We start from the raw sequence: 15,249 nt of genomic DNA, 5'->3' as shown, positions 1-15,249 counted from the left end.
GCTGGGCATGGTGGCGGGTGCCTGTAGTCCCAGCTACTCAGAAGGCTGAGGTGGGATGATCGCTTGAGCCTAGGAGGTGGAGGTTGCAGTGAGCCGAGGTTGCACCACTGCTCTCCAGCCTGGGCAACGGAGTGAGACCCTGTCTCAAAACAAAACAAAACAAAACAAAGCTGCACTTACATTTAAGTATACAAGTTGGTGAAGTGAACATGCCAATGAAACCTGCTTCCAGATCAAGAAGCAGAGTGTTACTGGTATCATGGGTGTCCCCTTCAGCCCATTCTGGTCACTTCACCCCACAAGGGTAACCACTTTCTGATTTCCAACACCACAGAGTTGTCTGTTTTAATGGAGTTATTGAAATATACATACTATAACGTTCACTCATTTAAAGTATACTGCTCAGTGATTTTAAGTATATTTTCTGAGTTGTGTAACTATAACTATAATCTAATGTTAAAATATTTTCATCATCCCCAAAAGAAACCTGTACCCCAAAAGAAATAAGGAGTGGTTACTCCTTTATCCCACATTCCACCAGCCCTAGGCAATTACAAATCTATTTCCTGCCTCTATAGATTTGCTTATTCTGGACATTTCATATAAGTGGGATCACATAATATGTGGCATTTTGTGCCTGATTTCTTTCACTTAGCATAATGTCCTCAAGGCTCATCCATGCTGTAGCATGTATCAGTACTTCATTCCTTTTCATGGCTGAGTAATATTCCATTGTATGGATAGACCACATTTTGTTTATCCGTTCATCTCCTGATGGACATTTGGATGCTTTCCACCTTTCAGATATTATGAATAATGCTACTGTGAACATTCACTTACAGGTTTTTGTTTGGACATACGTTTTTGTTTCTCTTAGGCATATATGTAGGAGTGGAATTGCTGGGTCATATGGTAACTCTGTTTAACATCTCAGGCCGGGTGCGGTGGCTCACGCCTGTAATCCCAGCACTTTGGGAGGCCGAGGCGGGTGGATCATGAGGTCAGGAGATCGAGACCATCCTGGCTAACAAGGTGAAACCCCGTCTCTACTAAAAATACAAAAAATTAGCCGGGCGCGGTGGCGGGCGCCTGTAATCCCAGCTACTCGGGAGGCTGAGGCAGGAGAATGGCGTGAACCCGGGAAGCGGAGAGCTTGCAGTGAGCCGAGATTGCGCCACTGCAGTCCGCAGTCCGGCCTGGGCGACAGAGCAAGACTCCGTCTCAAAAAAAAAAAAAAAAAAAAAAATCTCAAAGAACTGGCTAAACTGTTTTTCATAGTGTCTGCACCATTTTCCATTCCTGCCAGCAATGTATGAGGGTCCCAATTTCTCCACATCCTCACCAACACTTGTTATTATCTATGTTTTTGATTCTAGTGAGTGTGAAGTGGTATCTCATCATAGTTTTAACTTGCTTTTCCCTAATGACTGATGATGTTGAGCATCATTTCATAGCTTATTGGTCATTTTTATGTCTTCTTTGGAGAAATATCTGTCAAATCTTTTGATCACCTTTTAGTTGGATTGTCTTTGTATTGAGTTATAAGACTTATTTATATATTCTAGATATAAGTTTCTTATCAGATATATAGCGCTGCCATGCTCAGCTAATTTTTATATTTTTAGTACGATGGGGTTTCATCATCTTGGTCAGGCTGGCCTGGTCTTGAACTCCTGACCTCGTGATCTGCCCGTCTCGGCCTCCCAAAGTGCTGGGATTACAGGCATGTGCCACTGTGCCTGGCCAAGTTTTGTATTTGTAGTAGAGATGGAGTTTCGCCATGTTGGCCAGGCTGGTCTCGAACTCCTGACCTCAGGTAATCTGCCTGCTTCGGCTTCCCAAAGTGCTGGGATGACAGGCGTGAGCCACCACGCCCACTGAACCCTCATAAATCCATCACCGAATTTCAGCAGTGATCAGCATTTTACCATTTTCCCCACCACCATCTTTTCTGGGGGAGGAGTATTTAGTTTTTGTTATTTTGAAATAAAACAGTGAAAATCATGCTCTTATTTCAAAAAACAACATTGTGGAAAATATCTAACTTAGAAAATGAGACACCTGTAACCTCAGACAGAGCCAGTATTAATTCTGTGTGTGTGTATAGTTTTTAAGGACATTATTATTATTATTATTATTATTATTATTATTATTTTTGAGACGGAGTCTCACTTTGTTGCCCAGGCTGGAGTGGAGTGGCGCAATCTCAGCTTACTGCAACCTCCACTTCCCTGGTTGAAGTGATTCTCCTGCGTCAGCCTCTCAAATAGTTGGGACTACAGGCACCTGCCACCCATTATTTTAAATATTTACAGTATATTCCGTTATACAGGTAAACCATATTAATCCAGTTTCCTATGGGGGCCATTTGGGTTATCAGCTTTACTGTATTGATTAATGGTGCAATCATTAATCTTCCTGTCATATGTACTTGAGCAAGTTATTTTTTTTTCTTTTAGACAGGGTCTCCCTCTGTCGCCCAGGCTAGCGTATAGTAGTGCGATCCCTACTCACTGCAGCCTCAAACTCCTGGGCTCAAGTGGTTCTCCCACTTCAGCCTCCTGAGTAGCTGGGATGACAGGCGTGTGCCATTGAGTCTGGCTAATTATTTTTTGTAGAGACGGGGTCTATGTTGCCCAACTTGGCCTTGAACTCCTGGGCTCAAGTGATCCTCACCTTGGCCTCCCAAAGTGCTGGGATTACAGGCGTGAGCCACTGCGCCCGGCCGGAGGATGCACATCTTTTTTTTTTTTTTTTTTTTTTTTTTTGAGACGGAGTCTCGCTCTGTCGCCCAGGCTGGAGTGCAGTGGCGCGATCTCGGCTCACTGCAGGCTCCGCCTCCTGGGTTCACGCCATTCTCCTGCCTCAGCCTCCCGAGTAGCTGGGACTACAGGCACCCGCCACCACGCCCGGCTAATTTTTTGTATTTTTAGTAGAGACGGGGTTTCACCGTGTTAGCCAGGATGGTCTCGATCTTCTGACCTCGTGATCCGCCCGCCTCGGCCTCCCAAAGTGCTGGGATTACAGGCGTGAGCCACCGCGCCCGGCCCGGATGCACATCTTAAAGATTTAATAGCTGCTGCCAAATTGCCCTCCAAAGAGACTATGCCAGTTTATAATTTCAGCAGTAGTGAATGGGAATGTACAGGGGTATTGTATTTTATTTTATTTTTTGAGACAGAGTTTTGCTCTTGTCCCCCAAGCTGGAGTGCAGTGGTGCGATCTTGGCTCACTGCAACCTCTGCCTTCCGGGTTTGAGCAATTCTTCTACCTCAGCCTCCCAAGTAGCTGGGATTACAGGTGCGCACCATCACATCCAGCTAATTTTTGTATTTTTAGTAGAGACGTGGTTTCACCATGTTGTCCAGACTGGTCTCGAACTCCTGGCCTCAAGTGATCCACCGACCTGGGTCTCCCAAAGTGCTGGGATTACAGGTGTGAGCCGGCCAGGGATATTTTAAAGTAAATTCCAATTATTGTATCATTTTCACCTGGAAATACTTCTGTATTTCTTGCTAACAGATAAGGACATTTTTTGTGTTTTGACATAACCGTTATCACTTCTGAAAAATGAGTACCTTTTTACCGATGGTTTGTTCAAATCAGAATTCAGACAAGGCATTTGAAATGTGCATGTGGAAAGGAATACTGAAGAGGATGCCCACCTTCAGCGCTGCAGTTTTGAAAACCTGTGAATTGGGTGCAGTGGCTCATGCTAGCCACTTGGGAGGCTGAGGTAGAAGTTTAGGCTTGAGCCCAGGAGTTTGAGGCCAGCCTGGGCAACATAGCAAGACCCCATCTGCTTTGTGCAGGTGCAGGTTTGGGGCCTGAAGTGAAGGCCTCTTTTACTCTAGGCTTGTTTCTGCCACAATCTAAGTGATGTTTAAAGATTTCTGGTCTGTTTGCTTCTGGTCAGTTCCACACCCAAGGTTCTCTTCTAGATCTAGTTCTCAAGCCTGCATTTTCTTTTTTTTTTTTTTTTTTGAGATGACATCTCACTCTGTAGCCCAGGCTGGAGTGCAGTAGTGTGATCTTGGCTCACTGCAACTTCCACCTCCTGGGTTCGAGGGATTCTCCTGCCCCACCCTCCCAAGTGGCCGGGACTACAGGTGCATGCCACCACGCCTGGCTAATTTTTTGTATTTTTAGTAGAGACAGGGTTTTGGCATGTTGGCCAGGCTGGTCTGGAACTCCTGACCTCAGGTGGGTGATCTGCCTGCCTCGGCCTCCTAAAGTGCAGGGATTACAGGCGTGAGCCACCGCGCCTGGCCCCAAGCCTGCCTTATTTCTTTGTGGCCTCGCTCATATGCCTCTGGGTCTCAATTTGTAGGAGCTTCCTTGAAGCTTTCTGAAACAAATGCCCAGAGATTGTAACAGCCTTCCTGTGATCTCTGCCGCAAAGATGAGCCATTTGTTCAATGGAGAAGGCTCACAGACCGTTCTCTGCCAATGTTGTTGCAGTCTTACTCTCCTATTATTTGGGCTGTAGAAACTTTTACAACTGGTGAGACTTTTGCTCTCTAGATTTTACTTATTCCTTCCATTTCTGCTTGAAAAGTGGTATAGCCATTCTTGCCTGTACTTATCTTTGTCTTGAAATAGCTTGTTAAGGCAGTCAGTAGTAATTAGCGTACTCCATCATTCTGACTCTTCCCACCACTTTCCTTAGGCCAGCAGGCTCAGCGGACACTGGGTCCATGAAAGGCAGCAGTGAGTGCAGGCATTCCTTTAAGTGGGCGATATTTCATCATGATATGCCAGGCTCTCTAGCATTTTGCCACCTGACCAATAAGCCAAACTAACATATTTTAGACTTTTGTTCACAGCAGCACCCCACATCAAGGTGCTCATTTGTTGTCAGTCAGGGTTTGGTCAGGAAAATGGAAACTACCCTAGGTATCAAGCAGGAAGGCATTTAACATAGTGATCTAGAGGCTTCCAAAACCATTATCAGGGCTGGGGTGATGTGGTGGCAGCACACCCAGGGAAAGTTGCTGTTAGCTTTCAGAAAATTAGGAAGTGCAAGAATTGTAGGAAACTGTTGCGGATCAGCTGGGCCCTCTATAGGACCAGGGAAGGTCAATTTCAGGAGGGTCCTTAGAGGCTGCTGCTGCAATATGACATCAGCCCAGAGCCTAAGCTCATGCCCATGCCCACCCCTGCTGGAAGAATCCCACGTCTGCTGCTCCTCTATCTTCTGAATCTTGTAGGGTAGCTGAGCCTCTCCTCACTGGCCAGGATCCAGGTAAGGTGGTTCCTGCTATACAAGGGAGGGCACAGACTGGAAGGAAATGATGCTTTGTTCCAGCTTCCCCTAAAGTTGAGGGGACCACTAAATCTTACAAAGATAGGAGAAACAATTCTCAGTATATTGCTGTTTAAATTATCTTATAGATTAAAAGTTTGCTGTCTGGAAGTGAATACAAGTGTATGCATAAATAACATTTTATTTTTGTAATCATTTTTATTTATAGACTATAAAGCAATTGGCAAAATAGGAGAGGGAACGTTTTCTGAAGTTATGAAGATGCAAAGCCTGAGAGATGGAAACTACTATGCATGTAAACAAATGAAGCAGCGCTTTGAAAGGTAGGCTACAGAGATGCACTTGGGACCAAACACAGATCCAAGTTTCAGTCAATAACGGCAACTTAATATTAGGGGGGAGCTTTATTAATTTAATAATATGTAAGATACAATCAGATTTCTTTGGGCAGTGAGGGTTATATGCTAATGTTATGTTTATCATACTGGAGTTTACTCATATCCAGGCTTACTGTAATATCAGTGATGAATGACCACAAAAAAGTTTAAGTTTCAAAAGTGTGTCTCACCTTAAACAGTCTGTATGTTCCTAAAAGTTATAAATGTGTTGGATTTCTTTTTTTTTTAATTAAAAAAAACAGCAAAAAAATGATATATCAACCAATGGAACAGGATAGAGAGCTCGGAAGTGAACCCTTTATGATCCATTTGATTTTATGATCCATTGATTTTTTTTTTTTTTTTTTTGGAGACAGAGTCTCACTCTGTCTCCCAGGCTGGAGTGCAGTGGCACAATCTTGACTCATTGCAACCTCCGCCACCCCAGTTCAAGCGATTCTCGTGACTTAGCCTCCTAGTAGCTGCAACTGCAGGCATGTGCCACCAAGCCCGGCTAATTATTATTTTTTTTAAGTATAGATCAGGTTTCACCACGTTGGCCAGGCTGGTCTTGAACTCCTTGGCCTCAAGTGATCCGCCCGCCTTGGCCTTCCAAAGTGCTGGGATTACAGGTGTGAGCCACTGTGCCTAGCCCATTGATTTTGTTTGTTTTTGTGTTTTGTTTTGTTTGAGACAGGGTCTCACTCTGTCATCCAGGCTGGAGTGCAATGGCTCGATCTTGGCTCACTGCAGCCTCCACCTCCCAGGCTTAAGTGATCTTCCCACCTCAGTCTCCTGAGTAGCTGGGACCACAGGAGCACACCACACGCCTGGCTAATTTTTGTATTTTTTATAGAGACGGGGCTTCACCACGTTGCCCGTGCTGGTCTTGAACTCCTGACCTCAAGGTATCTGCCTGCCTTAGCCTCACAAAGGGCTGGGATTACAGGCATGAGCCACTGTGCCTGGCTGTGTGTTGGACTTCTATAAATGCAACCTTAGTCTAAATGTATTAGAGGTCCTTGCAATTTAACTAACTGTGAATAAATTAATATATTAATATTATATTAATATAACATAAGTGACAGGCATGAGCCACCATGCCCAACCTGAGCCATCACGCTCAGCCTGAGCCACTACACCCAGCCTTCATTTTTTAATTAATTAGTTAACTTTTAAAATGGAGATGGGATTTCACTGTGTTGCCCAAGCTGACCATGAACTCCCGGGCTCAAGTGATCCTTCTGCCTCAGCCTCCCAAAGTGCTGGAATTATAGGTGTGAGCCACCACACCTGGCCAAGAACAGTAATTTCATCCTCATGACATCTGGATAGGGTAGTTATCCTTGTTTCATATATGAGGATAGGTGCTTAGAGATGTGAGGTAATTTGACATTTTTTCTAGATTACTGGGTGGGCAGAGCCAGATGTGAACCCAGATTCTGCTAAGGCAAATCCTTGTTCTTCACTGCCCAATGCATACGGTAGTTTACCTACCACTAGGAAGACTGAAGCCACCAGGTGTTCTGCTCCTTCTCTTCTAGCACTTCTTCCTCTCTATGCATTCTGCATTCTCTGTGTTTCTTTATCTTTCCCCGACTCCATCTTTACTTGTAAACCACTGATGAGAGAGGATTTGATGCACAGTATACTGATTATCCCGTATCTAAAGAGCAGACAGCTGGGTGCTGTGGCTCACACCTGAAATTCCAGCTACTTGGGAGGCTGAGGCAGGAGGATTGCTAGAGCACAGGAGTTCAAGATCAGCCTGGGCAACATAGCAAGACCCCATCTCTACAAAAATTAAAAAAAAAACACAAAAAAACAGACTTCCTTAAACAGCCACCTTTGACCCAAAGTTGCCAGTACAGGATTTTGAACAGTAGGGTGTGATGCTTTTTTTTTTCTTTTTTTTTTTTTTTTTTGAGTCAGGGTCTCATTCTGTTGCCCAGGCTAGAGTGCAGTGGTGTGATCTCAGCTCACTACAACCTCTGCTTCCAGGGCTCAAGCGATTATCCAGCCTCAGCCTCATGAGTAACAGGGACTACAGGTGCAAGCCACCAAATGCCTAGATAATTTTTGTAATTTTTTTTTTTTTTTGAGACAGAGTCTCGCATTGTCACCTAGGCTGGAGAGCAGTGGCGTGATCTTGGCTCACTGCAACCTCTGCCTCCCAGGTTCAAGCAATTCTCCTGCCTCAGCCTCCCGAGTATCTGGGACTACAGGCGTGCGTCACAGCACTCGGCTAATTTTTGTATTTTTAGTAGAGATGGGGTTTCACCATGTTGGCCAGGCTGGTCTCAGACTCCTGACCTCAAGTGATCTGCCCACCTTGGCCTCCCAAAGTGCAGGGATTACAGGTGTGAGCCACCATGCCCAGCCTAATTTTTGTATTTTTGTAGAGACAGGGTCTCGCCATATTGCGGCTGGTCTCGAACTCCTGAGCTCAAAGCGATCCACTTGCCTTGGCCTCCCAAAGTGCTAGGATTACAGTCCTGGGTCCAGCCTCTATCAGATAAGTTTAGAATGTTCTAAGGAGCAGTTCTCTAGCGGGTGAAGAACGCTCAGTTTATTGAAGTTCTTTCTCATGCCTCCTCAGCCCCTGGGAAGATTGTGTGGTTACGTAACGGACATGGTTTCCCGGTGATGAAGCACATCCTGGGTCTGCCATCTGCCAGATTCCTCACACACCAAAAGTGCCTGGTCCACCAGAATCTTGGCTTCCTTGTCATAGTGCTTGACGACTAAGCAAAGGAATGAACAGAAAGCTAACAAGGTGGGACACATGGCAAATGTGCAGTGGATGCTGGCCTTCCTTACTGTATGCAGAATCATTCGTTGTATTTCAGAAACAATTTATGTTCTTTGCCTTTAACTTCAAAAGCAGTTGATTAGAACACATCCCACAGGTTGGCCCAGCATGGTGGCTCATGCCTTGTAATCCCAGCACGTTGGAAGGCCTAGGTGGGAGAATTGCTTGAGCCCAGGAGTTTGAGACCAGCCCAGGCAACAAAGAGAAACTCTGCCTCCATGAAAAAATTTTAAAAATCAGCCGGGCGCGGTAGTGTGTGCCTGTGGTCCCATCTACTTGGGAGGCTGAAGTGGGAGGATCTCTTGAATCCAGGAAGGTGATGCTGCAATGAGTTGTGCTTGTGCCACTGAACTCCAGCCTGGGTGACAGAGTGAGACCCTGTCTCACTCTGCCTTCTTTGACAAGGAAGCCGAAATTCCGCTGGACCAGGCACTTTTGGTATGCGAGGGATTTGGCAGAAAGCAGATCCAGGATGTACCTCACCACCAGGAAACCATGTCCGTTAGGTAACCGCACACACGCAAAAATCCGTTTCTGCTTGCTTATCATTGTGTAAGTGAATCCCCAGAGTCACCTTGCACAGTTGTGTGGGTGGTGTGAGGAATGTGAAGCATTAGTAGCAGAAAGTCATACTGAGTCACTTGGGCAGCATGAGGTTGGTATTTGGAGCCTCTGACCCCTACCCCCTCCAGTATTACTTCTGCTCCTTTCCTATGCTTTAATTCAAATAGAAACGGATGGCTTTTGCAGTAATCTTAGTTAATATGAAGTTAAAGAAAGGTAAAAAAATACACATAATGGATTAGTACTGTGGCAGGGAGGGCACTTTCACTCCTGAGCATTGTTTGCCTTTTGAGTCACTCAAGGACTTAGTTAGGGATAAGGAAGTTAGTTACTTGCCTGAGGCCTCAACAGAACTGAGTCGTTTTGTATCTTTTCTGGTATATCCTCAGAATTTTCCTCCACCAATACTTGCCAAAAGTACACAATTAAGAATAGGCTCTCTTTGGGCACAGTGGGTCTCACACCTATAATCCCAGCACTTTGGGAGGCCAAGGTGGGCAGATCAGTTGAGCCTGGAAGTTAAAGACCAGCCTGGGCAACATGGCAAAACCCCCGCTCTACCAAAAAAAGAAATAAAAAAGTTAGCTGGGCATAGTGGTGGTGCCTGTAGTCCTAGCTACTCAGGAGGGTGAAGTGGGGGGATTGCTTGAGTCCTGGAGGTTGCGGTTGAGGTTGCAGTGAGCCATGATTGTGCCACTGCACTCCAGCCTGGGTGACAGAGCAAGACCCTGTCTCAAACAACAACAACAACAACAACAACAACGGTTCTCTTGCTATGCTTTTAGTCTATATTTTTCCTATAGAAATAGAAGAAATGGAGTGAGTCTCTTAAAAAAAATCCCTAGTCTTGGTATTTGTAGGATCTCCCTTTGTGCCCCGAGGCAGTGACATTGGCACAAGTCTGCTAAACCCGGGGTTCAGTGTAGGGTTACCAGCTCTGACTCTAAAGGTCGGAACCAGCAGCTCCTCCATTTTAGTTCATGCAATCTTGGACAATTCCCTAATTTCTCCGTGCCTCTGTTTCTTTCTTTATACAATGGGGATAACCACAGTATCTACCCCATAAGATTGTTGTGAGGGTCAAATTAAATAATGCAGATGAAGCACTTAGTGCAGTGCTGGCACACCGTAATAAAGCAACTTGCTATGTAAATCAGTTTTTCCATAACAGATAATACAAGTTAGCAGAGCTTGAAGACTATTTTGGAGATGGACGTGAGATAATAATAGTAAGATTACCGCAGTTGTTCACTACATATCTGGTGTCATGAACAGTACTAGGTGAATTATATGCATGTGTCATTGAATCCTCACTGCGGCCCTGGGAGGAAGATCCATTGTTACATCTTTCAGACTAGGGAATTGAAATTCGGAGAGATCAAGTTCCCCACCTGGCCCGTTGCTACCCAACCTACACGTCGTGGAGCTGACTCTGAGCCCAGGTCTGTATAGGTCCTGAGCTGGTGATCTTCCCACCGTTCTTCCCAGCTGCAGATGCTGATGCCAACGTCAGGTCTACATGTGGTACATGGTTTTTCTCAAGTCACACCTCTAAGCAGTCCTCAAATTACTTTTACAAAAACAAAAAGTCTGCTGTGTAAGGTTATAAATAGAAACAAAGGCAAGGAATTTATTAGTCTCTCTAAAAGCCTTTTTTTTTTTTTTTACTTAAAAGTATAATATGAAAAACCTCAAGCATATACAAAATGAACAGCAGCCCTAGGTATCCAGCAGCCAGAATCAACATCCCTGCTATTTTTATTTAATCTATACCTCCACCCAGTGTCCTTCCTCTACTTGGGCTGCTATAACAAATTATACTGTATTCTGTCTGGCTTAAACAGCAGACATTTATTTCTTACAGTTCTGGAGGGTGATAAGTACAAGATTAAGATGCTGGCAGACAGGTCTGGTATCTGGCGAGGGCTTGCTTTAGGATTTGCAGGTGGCCCTCTTCTTGCTTTGTCCTCAAATGACAGATAGCAGAGAGAGAGAGAGAGGTCGCATGTTCTCTAGAGTCTTTCTGGCATTTCTTCTTAGAGCCACTAATGCCATGTGCTCTAATTACCTCTCAAAAGCCCCACCTCCTCATATCATCCCATTGGGGGTTTAGGGTTTCAACGTATGAATTTTAGAGGACACAAACATGCAATCTATAACGTTATACAGTTTTTTAAAGTCAAAATTTGTATATCTTGAAGTGCACATTGTTTATCTGTACAATTTTGGCAAATGGATATTCTCGTGTAATCAAGATGTAGAACATTACTATAACCCTAGAAAGTTCTTCTTGTTCCTTTTCAGTTTCCCACTGCCATCCCAGGCAATCACTAGTATGTGCTCTTGTGTCCACCTCCTTTAACTCAGCATCATGTCTTTGAGATTCATCATTACTGTTGTTCAGTAGTTTATCTCTTTTTTTTTTTTTTTGAGACGGAGTCTTGCTCTGTTGCCCAGCCTGGAGTGCAGTGGCACAATCTCAGCTCACTGCAACCTCTGCCTCCCAGGTTCAAGCAGTTCTCCTGCCTCAGCCTCCCAAGTAGCTGGGACTACAGGCCTGTGCCACCACACCCAGCTAATTGTTATATTTTTAGTAGTGACGGGGTTTCACTGGACAGGCTCGTCTTGAACTCCTGACCTCAGGTGATCCACCCGCTTCAGCCTCCCAAAGTGCTGGGATTATAGGTGTGAGCAACTGCACCTGGCCAGTTTATGCCTCTTTAATGCTGAGCAACATTCATTACAATCTGTGAGTACAACACAATTTCTTTATCCATTTTCCTGTTAATGGACTTTTTGATAGTTTCCAGTTTTGGGCTACCATGAATAAAGCTGCTTATGAAATTCGACTTCTTAGGCTGGGTGTGGTGGCTTGCTTCTGTAATCCCAGCACTTTGGGAGGCTGAGGCGTGAGGATTGCTTGAGCCCAGGAATTTGAGACCAGGCTGGATGACATATAGCCTGGTCTGTATGTCGTATGAAGAAAGACTTTTAGTATCTTTTTTTTTCCTCTACAAAAAAAAAAAAAAAAAAAGACCAGGGCATAGTGGCTCACTCCTGTAGTCCTAGCTACTTGAGAGGCTGTGATGGGAGCGTTGCTGAGCCTAGGAAGTTGAGGCTGCAATGAGCCATGATCACACCACTGCACTCCAGCCTAGGTGACAGAGCAAGACCCTGTCTCAGAAAAACAACAAAAGAAATACAGAAATTCTACTGGTGCATATTTCATTTTTTCTTTTTCTTTTTTTTTTTTTTTGAGACGGAGTTTCGCTCTTGTTGCCCAGGCTGGAGGGCACTGGCATGATCTCAGCTCACCACAACCTCCGCCTCCTGGGTTCAAGTGATTCTCCTGCCTCAGCCTCCAGAGTAGCTGGGATTACAGGCATGCACCATCACACCCGGCTAATTTTTTGTATGTTTTCATTTTTTCTTAGGCAGTTACCTAGAAACAGAATCACTGGGTCAAAGGGTAGGTATATGTTTAACTTTATAAGAAACTGACAAGCCTTTTCTCAAAGTGATTGTAACTTTTTATTTTTTTATTTAATTTAATTAATTAATTTATTTATTTGAGACAGAGTGTCGCTCTATCACCCAGGCTGGCTATCTCGGCTCAATGCAAGCTCTGACTCCTGGGTTCACGCCATTCTCTTGCCTCAGCCTCTTGAGTAGCTGGGACTACAGGCGCCCGCCACCACGCCCGGCTAATTTTTTTTTTGTATTTTTTAGTAGAGATGGGGTTTCACCATGTTAGCCAGGATGGTCTCCATCTCCTGACCTTGTGATCCGCCCACTTCAGCCTCCCAAAGTGTTGGGATTACAGGCGTGAGCCACCACGCCCGGCCTGTAGCTTTTTATATTACCACCGGCAAAGAATGAAAGTTCCAGTTGCTCCATATTCCCACCGGCATTTGATGTTGTTATTCTTTTAAGTTTAAGCCATTCTGATGATTGTGTGGAATTATCTCATGGTAGTTTTAGTTTCTACTTCCCCGATGACTAATGATAAACACTTGATCATGTACTTATTGGCCATTCATGTATCTTCATTTATGAATTGCCTGTCCAAGTTTTTGTCCCTTTAAAAATTTAGACCTTAAGAAACAAGCCATCCTAAGGGAGAAAAAAAGAAAAAATAATTTTAAAAATTAGGCTGTTTGCCTTTTTATTGAATTTAGGAGTTCTTTATATATTCTGTATAGAAGTCTTTTATTAAATGTGTTTTGCAGGTAGTTTCTCCAAGTCTGTGGTTTGCCTATCCATTTTCTTTATGGCATCTTTCCATGTGCTGAAGTTTTTTAATGTCAGTGAAGTCCAATTTATGGAGTTCTTTTGTGGTTATTGTTTTTTGTTTTCTGTCTTAGAAGAAATTTTTGTCTACTTCTAGGTTGTGAATGTATTCTCCTGTATTTTCTCCTAAAAACCTTATCATTTTAACTTTTTACATTTAGGTCTGTGATCCATCTTTTTTTTTTTTTTTTTTTGAGATGGAGTCTCGCTCTGTCACCCAGGCTGGACTGCAGTGGCGCTATCTCTGCTCACTGCAAGCTCCGCCTCCCAGGTTCACTCCATTCTCCTGCCTCAGCCTCCCGAGTAGCTGGGACCGCAGGCGCCCACCACCACGCCCGGCTAATTTTTTGTATTTTTAATAGAGACGGGGTTTCACCGTGTTAGCCAGGATGGTCTCGATCTCCTGACCTCACAGTCCACCCACCTCGGCCTCCCAAAGTGCTGGGATTACAGGCGTGAGCCGCCGTGCCCGGCCAATCCATCTTAAATTAATTTTTGTGAATGGTGAGCGGTAGGGATCAAGCATCAGTTTTTTCCCCCAAATGAATATCCAGTTGTTCCAGCATCATTTGTTAAAAAAAGACTTTCCTTGCCTTCAGTGGATTATTTTGTCAAAAGCTAATTGACTGTAAAAGTATAGGTCTGTTTTGGACTCTCTATTCTGTTTCATTGCTCTCTTTGACTGTCATTATGCCAATACCATACTGTTTTGATTAATGTAGCTCAACAGTAAGTTTTGAAGTCAGATACTAAAAGTCTTTCTTCTTCTTTTTTTTTTTTTTTGAGACAGAGTCTCTTTCTGTCATGCAGGCTGGAGTGCAGTGGTGTCATCTCGGCTCACTGCAACCTCTGCCTCCTGGTTTCAAGCAATTCTCCTGCCTCAGCCTCCTGAGTAGCTGGGATTACAGGCACCCACCACCATGCCTGGCTAATTTTTGTATCTTTAGTTGAGACAGGGTTTCACCATGTTGGCCAGGCTGGTTTCAAACTCTTGACCTCAGGTGATCCGCCTGCCTCGTCCTCCCAAAGTGCTGGGATTACAGGCGTGAGTTACCGTGCCCGGCCTCTTCATCTTTTTAAAGACAGTTTTGCCTACTGTAGGTCCTCTGTACATCCACATACATTTTAGAATCAGCTCAATTTTTTTTTTCTGTGAGGATTCTAGGAATATAGCTCATCAATTCTATTAAAAAATAAAACCAGCCGGGCACAGTTTCTCACGCCTGTAATCCCAGCACTTTAGGAGGCTGAAAGTGGGCTGATCACTTGAGCCCAGGAGTTCAAGACCAGCCTGAACAACATGGTGAAACCCCATCTCGATTGAAAATAACAAAAATTAGCCAAGTGTAGTGTCACACACCTGTAGTCGCAGCTGCTTGGGAGGCTGAGGTGGGAGGATTGCTTGAGCCTGGGAGGTGGAGGCTTCAGTGAGCCAAGATCATGCAGCTGCACTCCAACCTGGGTGACAGAGTGAGAACCTGTCTCAAAAAAAAAAAAAAAAATGCAGGTACGGTGGCTCACACCTGTAATCCCAGCACTTTGGGAGGCCGAGGCGGGCAGATCATGAGGTCAGGAGGTCAAGACCATCCTGGCTAAAACCGTGAAACCCCATCTCTACTAAAAATACAGAAAATTAGCCGGGTGTGGTGGCAGGCGCCTATAGTCCCAGCTACTCAGGAGGCTGAGGCAGGAGAATGGAGTGAACCCAGGAGGTGGAGCTTGCAGTGAGTGGAGATTGGGCCACTGCACTCCAGCCTGGGCGACAGAGTGAGACTCTGTCTCAAAAAAGAAAAACAAAACAAAAAAAAACTATTGAGATTATGAATAGGATTGTATTGAGTCTATCGTTCAATTTGGGAGAGAATGCATATCTTAGCAATATTGAACTTTGCAATTCATAAACATGGTATAACCGTCTCTCCATTTATTTCAGTTTGCTT

At 44.5% G+C, this 15,249-nt stretch overlaps 1 protein-coding gene across 26 annotated transcripts in view, besides 1 other annotated feature; it reads left to right on the top strand.

The window, feature by feature from the left end:
* The window catches only part of MOK (MOK protein kinase), a 90,569-nt gene that overhangs the window by 16,098 nt on the left and 59,222 nt on the right, over positions 1-15,249 (top strand). For 24 of the 26 annotated variants that reach the window (XR_007064041.1, XR_007064040.1, XR_007064039.1 and 21 more), the window contains exon 2: positions 5,475-5,589. Coding sequence is in view for 14 of the 26 variants with exons in the window: in XM_047431647.1 (XP_047287603.1) it covers positions 5,475-5,589 (115 nt within the window). In the remaining 12 variants the exon portion in view is untranslated. Of the gene's footprint in view, positions 1-5,474; positions 5,590-8,864; positions 9,008-12,453; positions 12,489-15,249 lie in introns of all 26 variants that reach the window. The other 2 variants (NR_148554.2, NM_001353828.2) reach the window with 2 other exon arrangements.
* Positions 8,544-9,743: an enhancer, noted in NCBI's record as "MED14-independent group 3 enhancer chr14:102745661-102746860 (GRCh37/hg19 assembly coordinates)". NCBI's record gives its function as "activates an origin of replication core promoter dependent on BRD2, BRD4, P300/CBP and CDK7 cofactors, and independent of MED14, by STARR-seq in HCT116 cells {active_cell/tissue: HCT116}" and the evidence as "EXISTENCE:reporter gene assay evidence [ECO:0000049][PMID:35650434]".

This window comes from Homo sapiens, chromosome 14, assembly GCF_000001405.40.
Source record: "Homo sapiens chromosome 14, GRCh38.p14 Primary Assembly".
Lineage (NCBI taxonomy): Eukaryota > Metazoa > Chordata > Mammalia > Primates > Hominidae > Homo > Homo sapiens.
This window is presented reverse-complemented; position numbering and strand designations above follow the sequence as displayed.